This window comes from Homo sapiens, chromosome 5 (genome assembly GCF_000001405.40).
Source record: "Homo sapiens chromosome 5, GRCh38.p14 Primary Assembly".
In the NCBI taxonomy this organism is placed as follows: domain Eukaryota; kingdom Metazoa; phylum Chordata; class Mammalia; order Primates; family Hominidae; genus Homo; species Homo sapiens.
This window is the reverse complement of record NC_000005.10, coordinates 119,119,833-119,138,700: the sequence shown is the minus strand read 5'-3', so window position 1 is coordinate 119,138,700 and position 18,868 is coordinate 119,119,833. Positions and strand designations below refer to the sequence as shown.

The 18,868-nt window shown below is 42.2% G+C and overlaps 1 protein-coding gene and 2 pseudogenes across 26 annotated transcripts in view, besides 1 other annotated feature; 2 read left to right on the top strand and 1 right to left on the bottom strand.

The window, feature by feature from the left end:
- The window catches only part of DMXL1 (Dmx like 1), a 178,101-nt gene that overhangs the window by 110,427 nt on the left and 48,806 nt on the right, over positions 1–18,868 (bottom strand). For 24 of the 26 annotated variants that reach the window (NR_170869.1, NR_170867.1, NR_170868.1 and 21 more), the window contains 5 exons: positions 17,562–17,730; positions 9,278–9,490; positions 5,316–5,569; positions 4,523–5,207; positions 4,312–4,433 (listed from right to left, as the gene is read on the bottom strand). Coding sequence is in view for 23 of the 26 variants with exons in the window: in XM_011543213.3 (XP_011541515.1) it covers positions 4,312–4,433; positions 4,523–5,207; positions 5,316–5,569; positions 9,278–9,490; positions 17,562–17,730 (1,443 nt within the window). In the remaining 3 variants the exon portion in view is untranslated. The remainder of the gene's footprint in view (positions 1–4,311; positions 4,434–4,522; positions 5,208–5,315; positions 5,570–9,277; positions 9,491–17,561; positions 17,731–18,868) is intronic. The other 2 variants (NM_001387938.1, NM_001387937.1) reach the window with 2 other exon arrangements.
- On the top strand, positions 5,799–6,016 carry LAMTOR3P2 (late endosomal/lysosomal adaptor, MAPK and MTOR activator 3 pseudogene 2; annotated as a pseudogene).
- Positions 10,228–12,142, top strand: SEPTIN7P10 (septin 7 pseudogene 10; annotated as a pseudogene).
- Positions 16,768–17,618: an enhancer, noted in NCBI's record as "NANOG-H3K27ac hESC enhancer chr5:118456778-118457628 (GRCh37/hg19 assembly coordinates)". NCBI's record gives its function as "activates a minimal SCP1, AML or CMV promoter by ChIP-STARR-seq in naive H9 embryonic stem cells {active_cell/tissue: H9 hESC(naive)}" and the evidence as "EXISTENCE:reporter gene assay evidence [ECO:0000049][PMID:30033119]".

Sequence of the window (18,868 nt, the reverse complement as noted above, 5' to 3'; positions counted from 1 at the left end):
CACATCTGGCTAATTTTTATATTTTTAATAGATGGGGTTTCACCATGTTGGCCAAGCTGGTCTCAAACTTCTGACCTCAAGTGATCCACCTGCCACGGCCTCCAAAAGTGCTGGGACTACAGGCATGAGCCATCGTTCCTGGCTTAACACTTCTGTTTTCTAACTATAGTCTCACCCTTGGCAATCTCATTCACTTCCACAACTTCAAATTTATATGCTGACAACTACTGTATATTTTCAGGCCAGACCTCTCTCTGAACTCCAGATACTAACCTACTATGTCTTTTGGATGTCAAACAGGCATCTCAAAATTAATATGACCAAAGCCAGACTCTTGAATTTCCCTGCCCCTCAAAACCTGCTACTTCTACATTCTTCCACATCTCAATTCACAGCAATTCTGTTCTTCCTAATATTCAATCACAAACCTTGGGAGTCCTCTTTTTTTCTCACACATACCGCATCCAGTCCATTCATAGCTATTCAATGTTCTAAACAACATCTTGAATTTGGCCATTTTTATCATCTCTGCCATTACCACTTGCTATATTCTAAGCTCCTTTTTTCCCTCTCCTGGACTACTGTAATTGGTTCCTAAATTGGTCTCTCTGGATCTACTTCCGCATCCCACGTCTAATCTATATAGCCACCAGAGGAATCATTTAAAACCTAAATCATTTCATACCTCTTCTATAGTTTCCATGTTATTCAGAGTAAAACCTGAAGTTACCACAATGGCCTATCAGGCTTCATATGACCTGGCCAGGCTAACTTTCCGACTTTATCCCTGACTATTTTCCACCTCACATGCTCTGCTCCAGCCACAGTGGCCTTTTTGCTGTTCCTTTACATACTGTATTAGTCCATTTTCATACTGCTATAAATAAATACCTGAGACTGGGTAATTTTAACAGACTCACAGTTCTGCATGGCAGGGGAGCCCTCAGGAAACTTACAATCATGGCGGAAGATGAAGGAGAAGCAAGCACCTTCTTCACAAGGTGGCAGGAAAGAAAGCATGCAGGGGAAACTGACACTTTTTAAACCATCAGATCTTGTGAGAACTTGCTCACTATAATGCAAACAGCATAAGGGAAATGGCCACCATGTTCCTATCACCTCCCACCAGGTGCCTCCCTTGATATGTGGCAATTATAATTCGAAATGAGATTTGGGTGAGCACACAGCAATAAACCATATCAATCCACCCAAGCCCCTCCCAAATCCCCTTTTCACATTTCAAAACCAATCATGCCTTCCCAATAGTTCCCCAAAGTCTTAACTCCTTACAGCATTAACCCAAAAGTCCAAGTCCAAAGTATCATCTGAGACAAGGGAACTCCCTTCTGCCTATGAGCCTGTAAAATCAAAAGCAAGTTGGTTACTTCCAAGATACAATGCGAGCACAGGCATTGGGTAAATGTTCTGTTCCAAATAGAAGAAACTGGCCAAAACAAAGGGGCCATAAGCCCCATGCAAGTCTGAAACCTGGCCAGGCAGTCATTAAATCTTAAGCTCCAAAATCTCCTTTGACTACATGTCTTGCATCCAGGGCACATTGACACAGGTGTGGGTTCCCACGGCCTTGGGAAACTCTGCCCCTGTGGCTCTGCAGGGTACAGTGCCTGTGGCTGCTTTCACAGGCTAGTGTTGAGTGCTTATGGCTTTTCCAGGCACATGGTGCAAACTGTCAGTGGATCTACCTTTTTGGGGTCTGGAGGATGATGGTGGTCCTCTTCTCCCAGTTCCATGAGGCCCCAGTGGGGACTCTGTGGGACGCTCCAACTCCACTTTCTCCCTCTGCATTGCCCTAGTAGAAGTTTTCCATGAGGGCTTCGCCCCTGCCGCAGACCTCTGCCTGAACATCCAGGTGTTTCCATACATCCTCTGAAATCTAGGTGGTTGCTGCCAAGCCTCAACTCTCATCTTCTGCATACCCACAGGCCCAATACCATGTGGCAGCTGCCAAGGCTTGGGGCTTGCACTCTCTGAAGCAACAGCCGCAGCTGTACCACGGCCCCTTTTAGCCATGGCTGGAGCTAGAGCAGCTGGGAGGCAGGGCACTGAATCCCAAGGCTGCACAGAGCAGCTGGGCCCTGGGCCTGGCCCATGAAACCATTTTCCCGCTTAGGCCTCTGGACCTCTGATGGGAGGGGCTGCCATGAAGATCTTTGACATGTCCCAGAGACATTTTCCCCATTGCCTTGGCTATTAACATTCAGCTCCTGGTTACTTATGCAAATTTCTGTAGCCCTTGAATTCTTCTCCAGGAATGAGTTTTTCTTTTCTACCACATGGTCAGGCTGCATATTTTCTAAACCTTTATGCTCTGCTTCCCTTTTAAACGTAAGTTAACATAAATTTCAATTTCAAACCATCTCTTTGTAAACACATATAACTGAATGCATTCAGAATAAGCCAGGTGACCTCTTGAATGCTTTGCTGCTTAGAAATTTCTTCTGCCAGATAACCTAAATCATCTCTCAAGTTCAAAGTTCCACAGATCTCTAGAGCAGGGCCAAAATGCAACCAGTCTCTTTGCTAAAGCATTAACATGAGTGATCTTTGCTCCAGATCCCAGTAAGTTCGTCATCTCCATCAGAGACTACCTCAGCCGGGACTTCATTGTCCGTATCACTATCAGCATTTTGGTCAAAACCATTCAACAAGTCTCTAGGAAGTTCCAAACTTTCCCACATCTTCCTGTCTTCTTCTGAGCCCTCCAAACTATTCCAACCTCTGCCTGTTACCCAGTTCCAACACCGCTTCCACATTTTGGGTTATCCTTATAGCAGTGCCCCACTCCTGGTACCAATTATCTGTAGTAGGCTGTTTTTACACTCTATGAAGAAATACCTGAGACTGGGTAATTTATAAATAAGTTTAATTGATTCATAATTCTACATGGCTCAGGAGGCCTCAGGACTTACAATCATGGCAGAAGGCAAAGGAGAAGCAAGCACCTTCTTCACAGGTGTCAGGAGACGGCACGTGCACAGGGGAAACTGCCACTTTTAAGATCATCAGATCTTGTGAGAACTCCCTCACTATCATGAGAACAGGATGGGAGAACTGCCCCCATGATCCAATCACCTCCCACCAGGTCCCTCCCTCAACACGTGGGAAGTATAATTCAAGATGAGATTTGGGTGGGACACAGAGCCAAACCTTATCACATACCAAACATGCTCCGGCCTTGGGATCTCTGAACTGGCTGTCCGTTTTCCCAAATCACATTCTCTTTAATAAATATCTACGTATCTAGTTCCCACATCTCCTTCAGATCTTTAATCAAATAGTACTTTTTCTGTGAAATTTTCCCTGACCAGCAACTTACTTGGCAATTCCTAATTCTTCTGCAACACTGTTTCTATCCATAGTATTTTTAATTAATATATTTTTATCTGTTTTCTTCCTATCTCCCTTCACCCGAATATAAGCTCTATGATACAAATTTTTACCTGTTTTCTTCACATCTAAATTCCCATTACTTAAAAATGCCTGATAAATAGAAGACCCCCCCCAAAATATATACATTTCTACTGTAATACTATATACATGCTTTGGAAAACCTTGTGTTCTGCAAAATTATGCATTAAAATTAACTTACAGAAAAAAACAGGATTGGAACAGATCACTGACATTTATGCAACTCTGTAAGCCGAGCATTAACAAATACATTAATTGGTAGTCAGGGAGATGGCTTGAATCTCCTAAATAGAAAGCTTGGTACAGCCGAAGGCTGCCTCTGGGGATACCAAAAGAAAAATCGCCAAAACCAGAAAAGTGGAAACGCTTGCTTGTTGGATGTCCCAAGACAATGCAGTTAGAAGGTTGTTATTAGGTGGGTATGAGAACAAATGTGGCCTGTCATAAGGCAAAAGCCTTACAACAATACTGAAAGAACTCTTGTCTGAACTGTAACCAAGCTAAGGGCTCTTTCTTTTCATGTTTAAGATTAAAATTCTATTCCTGTTGTTCCAGCTCCTCCTGCCTATAAAATAATTGCAGGGGGGCCGATATAACTTCTACATTATACTGTCAGTAGTCCTCATTTATCTATGAGTAAAGAAGTGTTACAGAAACATATTACAGGAGATGAGACTCTACTTTCTTTCAAAGAGTGAAAGAAATGGTTTCCTTTTAAAGGAGCTTTAAATCATTACAAGAGTACAAATGTGAAAAAATAAAACAAAGATACAAATGCTTATTACAAATTATAGGTCACAATTGTAGAACATGCCCAATAAATATAAACTATCTGAAAACATAATATTATATACTTAAGCTGTTTTAAAAGACATTACTTACAGAAATTTCAGGGTTAGAAAGCTCAGATAAAAGTTTCTTAGCATCAATAACTGCTTCATATAATCTCAGATATTGTCCATCACTGGCTACAAAGCATGCACTAGGAGAGTTGCAGTATGCACCTAGAAAGTATTTACAAATATTAAAATTTCACCCTTTGATGATAATGTCAGCAAATCTAAATTACTGTAATAAAAACCAGAATACTTACCCAGACAATAACTGGGTATAAGAGTGGGCAGCCATGCCACATTGGAAAAGGCAGAAACATGAAGAGAATTAATCCGGGCAAGCTCAGAAACTCCTCCAGAAAAAGACAATGGCCCAACTGGGTCAACCCTCCACAGAATAAGCTCACTGTAAACTGCACTGGGATCCTGAAATGCCACGTCAACAGTGCTTTTATTTTGTTGTGTCAAAGAGCATTCTTCAATATTTAGAGCATCAAAAGGTTGCTCTGGGTTATCAACATCTGGTGTCCTTAATGCATTATGGTGTGATGTTGTCAGCAATAATGGTAATACTGAGTGGCAAGCTAAATCATTAAGATGAAAACGATGACCACAATATCTGGATTTGTGGGAAATACTGAGAACAGTAGAAAAAGCAGATTCCTCGGCAAAACTGACCAGCCACTGATTCAGAGAACCATCAGCATGTTTTGATATCATCATAACATTAGGCGTAAAAATACTTAATTTTAAACTATTAGATGATTTATTGTGACCAGAAGAAATAAGCATTGATGTGGAACGGGTGAGGCCAGAAGGTTTTTGTTTCCCCTGCTGAATAGCCAAGTCAACATTCTTGGTACAGGCATACATCATTATGCTTTTACAGAGAGAGTTTGCATCACCTGTGGGGAAAGCTACTGGAATTCTGGAAACAAAGGACACCTAGAATCAAGAAAGCAAGTGTTAGAACATATAAAATTATATAAAGAGGTATTAGAAAATAGTACCCACATAAACAAGGAAGTAGCTCTCCAGAAATAACAGTAGTACCTGTACTTGACGAAACATACCAGGCTGGTATTCATCCAGCCAATCCACATGCCAAACTAGCAAAGAACCATCCATGGGATGAATACTAAATAGCATATCTGCATTTTTACTCCATTCAGACAGAAGTACTTCAATCTGATGATCAATGGCAGCTGACGATAATGATGTAAAACTTGAGTTTGGTACCATTTTATCACAGCCTAATTCCTTCTTTTCGGGATTTATTTTCAGATCATCAACACCATCATCAGTTTCTATAAGCAAAAGAGTTCATGAACCAAGTAAATACAAACAGGTTATTACTATAAATTAAGAATTACCGAGCTTCTGGATAGCTGAACACATGGAGATCTCATGCCTAAGGAGAGCATGGAAGCTCTGTACCCCTTCCGCCACACCTCACCCTACACATCTCTTTATCCGTATTCTTTGCAATATACTTTAAGTAAACCAGTAAATGTAATGCTTAATGATAATGCTCCAGAGCATACTTTGAGATCTAGTTTCTTATCTACTTTTGCCCTTGCACAGATGAAAGGAGAAAACTTGGACTTTCAAAAAATAAAAGTATCATTTGTTACCATAACACCTACCAAGTAGTTCAAATTAATCGTTTACCTTTGGTGGTGAGTTTCATAGCCAGCAGCAATGCCAATATAGGACTAATTGTCAACCCAGAAAAGGGACTTGCTCCATTTTTTTTTTTTTTTTGAGACGGAGTCTTACTCTTGCCCCAGCTGGAGTACAGTGGCGTGATCTCAGCTCACTGCAACCTCTGCTGCCCGGGTCCAAGCAATTCCGCCTCAGCCTCCCAAGTAGCTGGGATTACAGGTGCCTGCCACTGCGCCCGGCTAATTTTTGTACTTTTTAGTAGAGACGGGGTTTCACCATCTTGGTCAAGCTGGTCTTGAACTCCTGACCTCGTGATCCACCTGCCTCGGCCTCCCAAAGTACTGGCATTACAGGCGTGAGCCACTGTGCCCGGCCAAGTTATGTAACTTTCTTAATCTGACAGTGGTATATGCACCTTATCTTCATTATAACAACACAAAATCAATCCAGCAATCTATAGATGACAATAATACTTTTATTAAACATGTGCTCAAGAAAGGGGCCTCTTTCGCCACCTTATAATAATAAAGAGCCTATAGACATAATTTATAGCCAGATCAATTGTCACATATTCTAGTGTAGAGCCTTTTCTTATTTAGTGAGATCTGGGGATATCACCAGAATGGTTCAATCTATCACAGCCCGCAAACAGTCCAGTCATCAAATATGAATGAGATTCTATTTAGTGAATCAGCATCAAACTGGTACTTTGATCCCCTTGAGCCATTAAGTATTGTACAATATGCCCAGATCTGCATAATGAAGAAGACTCTTTTTATTTTGAAGAAGTATATATTTTTCTTCAGATTATGTTTTATCTCTTTGCCTTGAGTGTGAGGAACATAAAATGCCTTAGCAAAACTAATACAATTAGTACAAACACACACACAAATATCTTTATAAATGGATTCAAGATGAAAAACATAACAGTTTTCATATTAATAAGAAATGGGCTCTGCATTAAAAGTAACTTTGCTCCAGGAATATAAGGTCACTGAAGTTCACTGAGTAATCAGTAGCCATACAGGACTGAGTCAGTGGATTACTGGTAGAAGACCTAATATTAAACTGGAAAATAAGTAAACTGGCTTCTCAATGCAGATGTTCTATATTTAACCACTCAGTTAACCTTTAGTAACACACACTACTTTTCTGGACCTCAGTTTTGCTCATGGTAAAAAGAAGGAATTGGAATTGGAACTAAAATTGGGACTGAGTTTTTAAAATACATTATTTGAGTGTAATTTGTACTTTATCTCTAAAGTACCAGGTTTATCCAAACCTCAGTATGCTACATTAGTTATCCTCTAGGTGTATGGACTTGTAACTGGTATGGCATCTTAAAGAAATCATTTCAAGGAAATGCATTTATGGTGCCAATTTCCAGGTTTCCTTCAACACCTTAGTAACAAAAAATAAACTGTGTATCAACTTATCAATACAGGTAAATATGTATATTCTTTCCTCTTTCAAAAATCCCAGTCCCCTCACCCTCCCCCAATTCCTGGTTAGCAATATAGAGCCTTTCTCTGAAGAGATATATTTTTTTTAAGTTTTGACTGTTTACCAGATTTAAAAAGTAAGTCAAGATATACAAATCAATAAGAAAAAAAAAAAAACTCAGCAGGAAATTAGATAAAGGGTATTAAAAGGCAAGCCACAGAAGGGCAAAAATATAATAAAAGATATTCTGCTTAATTTGCATCAAGAAAATGCAAAGTAAAACAAGATGTCCATTGTCCCGTTATCAACTGGCAAAAAAAAAAAAAAGTAATATAATGAAAACATCCAATGTTGATAAGGATGTAAAGCATATATTTAGATACACTTAGAGGAAGTATAAACTGGTAAAACATTTCTGGAGGGCAATTTGTCAGAAGTTATTGATATTTTAAATTGCTACACTCCCTGGAAATTCCCCATCTAGAAATCAAGATTATAGAAAAACTCACAGAAAAAAGAAAAAGACAAGTCATTGTACCTAGAATAATGAAAAACAATTTAAATTAATTTAAATGTTTATCAATAGAAGACCTGTTAGACATTTCTCTTAGACATGGAATACTCAGCAGCCGTTAAATACAATGATATGAAAAACTGCCCATTACTGACTGAATTAAAACAAAGCACAGGCCGAGCATGGTGTCTCACGCCTGTAATCCCAGCACTTTGGGAGGCCCAGGTGGATGGATCACCTGAGGTCAGGAGTTCGAGACCAGTCTGACTAACATGGTGAAACCCTGTCTTGACTAAAAATAAAAAAATTAGCCAGGTGTGGTGGCGGATGCCTGTAATCCTAGCTACTCGGGAGGCTGAGGCAGGAGAATTGCTTGAACCCGGGAGGTGGAGGCTGCAGTGAGCCAAGATTGTGCCACTGCACTCCAGCCTGGGTGACAGAGCAAGACCCCATCAAAAAAAAACAAACAAACAAAAAAAAAACACAAAGTGCAGAACATTATTTCTGTATAAAAATGCACACCCACAGTACAACTTTTAAGTGTCTGTATTTAGATGTTTGTGTGAGCATAAGCAAAGAATCAAACTGGAAGGATACTTATCAAACTTAACAATGTGGAAACTTCATAACTATCTGTGTACCTGTTTGATTTTTCTTACCTAATGATCATAAACCATCTTGAAATTAAAAATTAAACAAATTAAAACAAAACTTTAAAAAAAAAAACCAAACACATTTATGAACCACAGACTGTCACAGAGATGGCTAGCTGCACACCACAGTTTCTTACTTTCCATTTCTCAGCATATAAAGGCTACAGAGTCAGGAACTACACGGGCCCTGTGAATTCCAGCTGAATGTTCTTGCCAGCTGAATGACAGTGTAAGTGATATGCGTCAATCAAGGTAGCTGACAAATAGCTATGCTTTCTTTCTCTCTAACTCTCTCTCTATACCAACTGAAGGCCAAAGGCAGAGAAATTTAATGTCCTAGTTTCAATGCTTCTCAAACTTTAATGTACATACAAATCACCTGGAAATTTCATTAAATTGCAGATTCTGGTTTGGTGGGTCTGTGTGGACCTTGAGACATGCATTCTAACAAGCTCCTGGGTAACACCAATGCTGCTAGTCTACAGATAGTCCTTTATATAGGAAAGTCCTAAGGGCTAACAAAACCAGAAGAATGAGAACCCCCAGTCCTTAAATAACCATGTGGAAGAAAGCTACCTATAACAGAAATATCTACATTAGATTATTAAATGAGCTAGTCCATGTTTGGATCATGTCATTGCAACTTTAAAGTTTATTACAAGTAGCTAGTTTTACCCTAATATGAAAATGTTTGCTATTTTGAGCAAAACTTTAAATTTTCCTTTCCTCTTAAAGTTTACCTTCATCAGATTTTACATCTGCCTGATTAGAATCTTCTACACTGGCCTCAGAAGATGGTTGTTCAAAACTTTTTCTAAGTTGCTGTAAAAAAACTTCCATGGACAAAGTAAAATGCAGTTCTTTATTGTTTAGCCAGTGTACAACAAAAGGTCCGGTCTTCTCTTCATTTTCATTTAGACTCAGAGATGTAATAGATGGAAGAAGTGGAATGTCTATAAGAGAAAAAAAAGATAAAATTAAAATTTTTACCTTCTAGCATATGAAACATCCATGTTTCATATTTTTATTACTATTACATTTATATTTTGTTTGCCTGAAAGTCCTTCTCTTTCACTTTTTAATTTTATTTTGAGATTTTGTTTTTTTGAGACAGAGTTTCGCTCTGTTGCCAGGCTGGAGTGCACTGGTGTGATCTTGGCTTACTGCAAACTCCCTGGTTCAAGCCATTCTCCTGCCTCAGCCTCCCGAGTAGCTGTGATTACAGGCACACGCCACCACGCCCAGCTAATTTTTGTATTTTCAGTAGAGACAGGGTTTCACCACGCTGGCCAAGATGGTCTCGATCTCCCAACCTCGTGATCTACCTGCCTCAGCCTCCCAAAGTGCTGGGATTACAGACGTGAGCCACCGTGCCTGGCCTATTTTAAGATTTTTTAAATACTATTTTTTAGAGTATTTTTAAGTTCACAGCAAAATTCAAAGGTACAGCCATATTCCCCATCCTACATATGCATAGCCTCCCACATTATCAACATCCACTACCAAAAGTGGTACATTTATTACAATTGATGAATCTACACTGACACATCACTATCACCCAACGTCTACAGTTTACCTTAGGGTTCATTCTTGGTGTTGTACATTCTACGGGTCTGAACAAATTTATAATATTTCATTTATCTTTAAATCTCTGGAACACATTTTATTTAACCTCTAAATAAGATTTCCAGCTGGGGCTAGTCATGGAGTGGGGAGGGTATGTCAGTCAGCAAGAGATCTGCTGCTGAGGAGAGAAGCATCAACAGCAGCATGGTAGCTCAACGGAAGAACCCTGAAGTCTACGTGGGATTTTCCAGTCTCCCAAATCAAATATCCAGAAAATCAGTGAAGAGAGGGTTGGAATTCATACTTATGGCAGTGGGGAAATCTGGATTCAGAAACTTTACATTAATCAACTCATTATTCTTCACTCTGTATTCTCCAGAGTATCCAGATTCTTCTCACAGAATTAAAAAGACCGTGCAGGTGGAACTATGCAAAGTTTTAATCAAAGAAGGTGGTGTTCAGTTGCTGCTCACAAGAGTTGATATCCCATGATTTAGACTTGCAATGGGTAATAGTAATTGTTGGTTACTGACTACACTGATAGTAAATTGAGGACCACCTAAATGGAGAATCATGATAAAACAGATGTCAGATGCCTCATAACAGGGTGCAGGGTTGTTTATACTTCATTTCTCCTTCAGGACATGGACTTAAACCATTTGATACTAAGTTTATGAAGCTTTTGCTTGAAAAAGTGAATATCATTCCCACTTATTGCCAAAGCAGACATGCTGATACCAGAGAAATGCCAATAGTTTAAAAACAGATAATGAAAGAAATCTAAGAACATAAAATTAAATATATGAATTTCCAAAAACACATGATGAAGAAAATAAACTTGTTAAAAAGATAAAGGACTGGCTGGGTGCAGCAGCTCATGTCTGTAATCCCAGCACTCTGGGAGGCCAGAGCAGGCAAATCACTTGAGGCCAGGGGTTCGAGACCAGCCTGGTCAACATGACGAAACCCCATCTCTACTAAAAATACAAAAATTAGCCAGGCATGGTGGCATGTGCCTGTAATCCCAATTACTTGGGAGGCTGAGTCACAAGAATCACTTGAAGCCAGGAGGCAGAAGTTGCAGTGAGCTATCGGTCACTGCACTCCAGATTACCAGACTAAGTAAAATTCTGTGAGTAATTCGGTAAGTTTAAAGTTGAACTAAAATTCTATCCTGGACAACCAGCTATCACCAGGCTTGCCTGGGTGACAGAGCGAGACTCTGTCTCAAAAAAAAAAAAAAAAAAAGGATAAAGGACTGTTTACCACTTGCTGTGGTAGCCAATAATACTACCATTGAAGTTAATGGCAAGAGAGTCAGAGGAAGGCAGTATCCTAAGGGTGTTGCTGATGTTGAATATGGTGAGCACTGTAATTTTACAATTCTAAGGAGTATCTTGATAGGAACACACATACAAGACTTGAAAGATGTTCCTGATAATGCCCATTACGAAAACCACAGAAGCAGAAAAATGGCACCTGACTTACAATGGAGTTGAAAACAACAAGAATAAAGGGCAGCTTACTAAGAGCCCTCTGGCACAAATGGAAGAGGAAAGAAGACAGCATGTAGCTAAAATGAAGAAGATGGGGACAAAGATGAAGCAGGCGTTCAAGATGAAGGTCAAAAAAAAAAAAGTTCAAAAACTGAAGGACTCTGAAACTGAGCTCCAACGGTGCCAAGAGCAAAAAGGAATTTAAGCACAGCACAAAGAATTAGAGGAAAAACGTCACCAGTTTGAGAATGAAAAAGCAAACTGAGAAGCTCAACTCAACAACATATTTTAGAACAGAACTCTTCAAGACCCCTGGAAAAGAACAATAGAAAGTGAAGATCTTTCAAAATCTCTATTGACCACCAGTTATGCATTAGTTGCCAACGCCAGCTTGGACATCAGTGTTAGATGAATCTGTCTAATCAATCTTCACCAGTTTTGTCTATAATGATGGATTTTAACAGCAGGACAAAAATTTTTTTTGTTATTGTTATTTACAGAGATTACGATGCTTGAATTGTCCACGGTGTTGGGCACTTAGAAAGTAACAGCTCTAAGTACACTTCCTACATTTTCTTTTTTGTCTTTTATTGAATAGATATCCCCAATTTAATGCAAGAGAATATTTTATTGTTATACAGTCATGTCCTGGTGGTATGACTGTTGAGAGGATATTCCAAAATAAAAGGATGCTGCAAGGTTTTCAATGAGGATAAATTGCTATGACGCAAACTTTTTTGATAATTATAATATAAACGTTCCATTCAATGCAGCACATACAATAATGCTTTTATTTTATTTTACCTTATTTTATTTTTGAGACAGAGTTTCACTCTTGCTGCCCAGGGTGGAGGGCAATGGCGCAATCTCAGCTCACTACAACCTCCGCCTCCCAGGTTCAAGCGATTCTCCTGCCTCAGCCTCCCAAGTAGCTGGGATTAAAGGCAGACACCACCACGCCTGGCTAATTTTGTATTTTTAGCAGAGACGGGGTTTCACCATGTTGGCCAGGCTGGTTTCAAATTCCTGACTTCACCACCGCCTCGGCCTCCCAAAGTGCTGGGATTAGAGATGTGAGCCATCGAACCCAGTCAATAACATAATTTAGTCTAACACAGTTGACTCTTCCATTGTTTAAAAACACACATGAAAAAAAGAAAAAAACCTATATGCTTACAGTACATACAGAGCTTTTTTATAGCAACCTTTGTTTGTTTTGGATTTTTTAAATATATATTGGCCAGGCGCGGTGGCTCACGCCTGTATTCCCAATGCTTTGGGAGGTCAAGGTGGGTGGATCACGAGGTCAGGAGATTGAGACCATCCTTGCTAACATGGTGAAACCCCGCCTTTATTAAAAATACAAAAAAGTAGCCAGGAGTGGTGGCGGGCGTCTGTAGTCCCAGCTACTTGGGAGGCAGAGGCAGGAGAATGGCATGAACCCGGGAGGTGGAGTTTGCTGTGAGCCGAGATCACACCATTGCACTTCAGCCTGGGCAACAGAGTGAGACTTCATCTCAAAAATAATAACAATAATAATAATTACATATATATATACACACACAAAATCCACATTTAGTGCCCTCCTTAGCTAGAATCTCATTAGTAATTCATTTTTGTAACAACATTTAATTTAGATATTTTCCATATAGTGGCCCTGCTAAAATAGAATATAGCACCTTTCTTATGGTAGTAACCAACAAGGAAACTTTCCTTTAACTTCCTTTTTATACTTTCCGTAAGCAGCAGGTGGGGAAATGCATTTATAGATCATTCCTAGGCAAAACTGTAAAGCTAATGAATCAATCTTTTTCTATTTATGCAGTCTAATTCACTAGAAGAGAAAAAAAGTCTTTTTACCCTTGAAGAGAAAAAAGTCACCATTCTGTATTTAGCTATATTCATATATTGTAGTTCTCTATTTTTGTTTCTACTGTCAAAAATTCACATAACAATGTTGTGATGTAAAAGAAGACTTCCAACATAATGTTTGCCACTATTATTAACAGTAACAGATTTAAACGGTAAATTTAATGTATCTATTGCAAAGGAGATTAAATTATATGTCCTAGGTCATACAGTATAATTTATTTAACCATAAATGTTTAACAGTGAAAAATATTCACATGATAAAATGTCTATAATTTGTAGCTCTGTTAATAGAAGTATCTTAATTTATAACAAATTTTGGTAACAAGCAAATTTTAAACTGATCCACAATAAAAGAAAAATGTTGGTTGGGTGCAGTGACTCACGCCTGTAATCCCACCACCTTGGGAGGCCAAGGCAGGCAGATCACGAGGAGGTCAGGAGCTCGAGACCAGCCTGGCCAACATGGTGAAACACCATCTCTACTAAAAATACAAAAATTAGCCAGGCATGGTGGCTCATGCCTGTAATCCCAGCTACTCAGGAGGCTGAGGCAGAAGAATCACTTGAACCCGAGAGGCAGAGGTTGCAGTGAGCCTTGATTACACCACTGCACTCCAGCTTGGCGACAGAGCAAGACTCTGTCTCAAAAAAAAAAAAAAAAAAAAAGTCATCACCATAATGTCAAAGGAACTAGTAACATATGTATCTTAATATCAACAACAACTAGTTTTTACTTAATAGACTGACCTATCAACCTCTTTAATGAGCTAATTCTAAGATGGACTGCTTATTTGTTAGCATTAAGACTGAAGTTGAGGTTCCCTTCTCACGCTCAAGGAAAGCATTCAAGACAGTCACACAGCTAAAAAAGCATTTGTTCCTTGGTCTTTCTTACTTTTTTTTTTTTTTTTTGAGATGGAGTCTCGCTCTGCCACCCAGGAAGCTGGAGTGCAGTAGTGTAATCTCGGCTCACTACAACCTCTGCCTTCCAGGTTCAAGCAATTCTCCTGCCCCAGCCTCCCAAGTAGCTGGGACTACAGGTGCCTGCCACCACACCTGGCTAATTTTTTTTTTTGTATTTTTGGTAGAGACGGGGTTTTACCATGTTAGCCAGGCTGGTCTTGAACTCCTGGCCTCAGGTGATCTGCCTGCCTCAGCCTCCCAAAGTGTTGGGATTACAGGTATGAGTGACCATGCCCAGCTCCTTGGTGTTACTTTTGATATGAATGTTAAATTGAGTACACTGATGTACTAATCCAGTGAGTTGCTGCAAATAATCCCTAATTAGTAGAAGTAAGCAAAAATTTAAGTATCACATTAAATCAAACCTGGATCATGTTGGTGTCTGCTAAACTGTAAAGGCTAGAATGAACTCAAGGAGTGTAAACAATTTTCTCCAAAACAAATCTATGGTTTAAAAGAAAGGTAAAGAAAGGCCAGGCACAGTGGCTCCCGCCTGTAATCCCAGCACTTTGGGAGGCCAAGGCAAGAAGATTGCTTGAGGCCAAGAGTTTGACACCAGCCTGGGCAAAACAGTGAGACTCCATGCCTATAAAAAATAAAAATTAAAAAAATACAATACTATATCTGTAGTACTAACCTTTATTAAGTAACAGTTCAAATATCAATTTTTGAATAAACTAATAATGAACTTCAATGCCTTATCAAGATCCTAAATCACAAGTCAAGTCATGGCCTTAAAGGGCAAACAAACAGAAATCAGTGAGCTTGCTACAATGAAAAATAGGCCTCTCCCTCTCCCTCTACCTCTCCTCCTCTCCCTCCTCTCCCTCTCCCTCCTCTCCCTCTCCCTCCTCTCCCTCTCCCTCCCCCTCCTCTCCCTCCTCTCCCTCTCCCTCTCCCTCCTCTCCCTCTCCCTCCTCTCCCTCTCCCTCCTCTCCCTCTCCCCTTTCCACGGTCTCCCCTCTCCCTCTTTCCACGCTCTCCCTCTGATGCCGAGCCGAAGCTGGACTGTACTGCCGCCATCTCGGCTCACTGCAGCCTCCCTGCCTGATTCTCCTGCCTCAGCCTGCCGAGTGCCTGCGATTGCAGGCGCGCGCCGCTACGCCTGACTGGTTTTCGTATTTTTTTGGTGGAGACGGGATTTCGCTGTGTTGGCCGGGCCGGTCTCCAGCTCCTAACCACGAGTGATCCACCAGCCTCGGCCTCCCAGGTGCCGGGACTGCAGATGGAGTCTTGTTCACTCAGTGCTCAATGGTGCCCAGGCTGGAGTGCAGTGGCGTGATCTCCGCTCGCTACAACCTCCACCTCCCAGCTGCCTGCCTTGGCCTCCCAAAGTGCCGAGATTGCAGCCTCTGCCCGGCCGCCACCCCATCTGGGAAGTAAGGAGCGTCTCTGCCTGGCCGCCCATCGTCTGGGATGTGAGGAGCCCCTCTGCCTGGCTGCCCAGTCTGGAAAGTGAGGAGCATCTCTGCCCGGCCGCCATCCCATCTAGTAAGTGAGGAGCGCCTCTTCCCGGCCACCATCACATCTAGGAAGTGAGGAGCGTCTCTGCCCCGCCGCCCCGTCTGGGATGTGAGGAGCGCCTCTGCCCGGCAGCGACCCCGTCTGGGAGGGGAAGGGCGTCTCTGCCCGGCCGCCCCGTCTGAGAAGTGAGGAGACCCTCTGCCTGGCAACCGACCCGTCAGAGAAGTGAGGAGCCCCTCCGCCCGGCAGCCGCCCCATCTGAGAAGTGAGGAGCCTCTCCGCCCGGCAGCCACCCCGTCTGGGAAGTGAGGAGCATCTCCGCCTGGCAGCCACCCCGTCTGGGAGGGAGGTGGGGGGGGTTAGCCCCCCGCCCGGCCAGCTGCCCCATCCGGGAGGTGAGGGGCGCCTCTGCCCGGTCGCCCCTACTGGGAAGTGAGGAGCCCCTCTGCCCGGCCAGCCGCCCCCTCCGGGAGGGAGGTGGGGGGGTCAGCCCCCCGCCCGGCCAGCCGCCCCGTCCGGGAGGGAGGTGGGGTGGTCGGCCCCCCGCCCAGCCAGCCGCCCCGTCCGGGAGGTGAGGGGCGCCTCTGCCCGGCCGCCCCTACTGGGAAGTGAGGAGCCACTCTGCCCGGCCAGCCGCCCCGTCTGGGAGGGAGGTGGGGGGGTCAGCCCCCCGCCCGGCCAGCCGCCCCGTCCGGGAGGGAGGTGGGGGGGTCAGCCCCCCGCCCGGCCAGCCGCCCCGACCGGGAGGGAGGTTGGGGGGTCAGCCCCCTGCCCGGCCAGCCGCCCCGTCCGGGAGGTGAGGGGCGCCTCTGCCCGGCCGCCCCTACTGGGAAGTGAGGAGCCACTCTGCCCGGCCAGCCGCCCCGTCCGGGAGGGAGGTGGGGGGGGTCAGCCCCCCGCCCGGCCAGCCGCCCCGTCCAGGAGGTGAGGGGCGCCTCTGCCCGGCCACCCCTACTGGGAAGTGAGGAGCCCCTCTGCCCGGCCACCACCCCGTCTGGGAGGTGTACCCAACAGCTCATTGAGAACGGGCCAGGATGACAATGGCGGTTTTGTGGAACAGAAAGGGTGGAAAGGTGGGGAAAAGATTGAGAAATCGGATGGTTGCCGTGTCTGTGTAGAGAGAAGTAGACATGGGAGACTTTTCATGTTGTTCTGTACTAAGAAAAATTCTTCTGCCTTGGGATCCTGTTGATCTGTGACCTTACCCCCAACCCTGTGCTCTCTGAAACATGTGCTGTGTCCACTCAGGGTTAAATGGATTAAGGGCGGTGCAAGATGTGCTTTGTTAAACAGATGCCTGAAGGCAGCATGCTCGTTAAGAGTCATCACCACTCCCTAATCTCAAGTACCCAGGGACACAAACACAGCGGAAGGCCGCAGGGTCCTCTGCCTAGGAAAACCAGAGACCTTTGTTCACTTGTTGATCTGCTGACCTTCCCTCCACTATTGTCCTATGACCGTGCCAAACCTCCCTCTGCAAGAAACACCCAAGAATGATCAATAAAAATAAATAATAAATTAAAAAAAAAGAAAAAAAAAAGAAAAATAGGCTAAGACAGTCACCTCCAATATTTTACTTATTTGAAAACTAAAAGTATAACTTAGTTGTTATAAAATCAATCTATTCAATTTCAGAAACATGTTTTGAACAATGTTTCATTACCTGTGGCTGGGTTGATGCTGGCTGCAATATGAAAGTGGCAAAGTGCATTGGCATGCAGTGGAGTGTTCCTGTGAACATGATGAGGATCCTGCTGATGTGGTAGATATCCCGTATGTGCTACAAGAGCAAGTGATCTCCTCCGACCTCTACGAAAATGTCTCAGATTTACCTGTGTGAATAGAAACAAAACTAATACCTATATTGTCAAAAGTCATACACGTATAGGTTATATAATGATTGTCAGAAGTTACATATATCCTAGCTCAGAACATTTTACATGTTTTATATGTAAAAACGCCTTTTAACATTTTATATGTAAAAACACCTTTCAATATTTTGGTATAGCAAATTTGAATCCTGAAGAATAAAGTTATGACTTAAAGTACCTGGCTGTTCTCTTAATCCTCACACAGTGTTTTGCAATTTTTATTAGGCTTATTTTCTTAAAATGTATTTCCTAAAATCAAATGTTAAAAATTTTTTTCCCAATACTATTGTTTGTGACTGATATCTCTACATACACTGTCTTTTGTCTATAGCTAACTCCTTGTGACCACACAGTATTAAATAATATTACCACTGCACATGGAACATTTCATAATTTACAAAGCATTTTCATAGAGATCATCCCATTTGATGCCATGAGGCAGGCAGTGCAAATATTGTTATTCCCATCTTTCATATGATAAAATGGTCTATATAGAACCCAAGATCATCTAGCTAAGAAGAGGCAGGGCAAAAGGTAGAACAAGTCTTCAGATTCCTGGTCAGTAACTTCTTTCAGCTATTACTACATGTAACCATTCTATTCGTTGTTGAATCAATACAGAATTTATTATATTCTGAGGCATCAGAATACTATTCAAATTAGAAAAATTGTTGCTGCATAATCATACAAAGCATTCAAAGATAAATTGTTTCAAAATCACTTCTGTTTTCAGGGCCGGGCATGGTGGCTCACGCCTGTGATCCCAGCACTTTGGGAGGCCAAGGCAGTCAGATCACTTGAGGCCAGGAGTTCGAGACCAACCGGTGTGGGAGGATTACTTGAGCCAACATGGCAAAACCCCATCTCCACTTTAAATACAAAAATTAGCCAGGCGTGGTGGCACACACCTGTAATCCCAGCTACTCGGGAGGCTGAGGAGGGACTACTGCTTGAACCCGGGAAGCAGAGGTTGCAGTGAGCTGGTATCGCCCCACTACACTCCATCCTGGGTGACAGACAGAGACTCTGTCTCAAAAAACAACAACAAAACAACTCCCCCACCCAAAAAAAAAATCCACAAAAAATAAAATCACTTCGT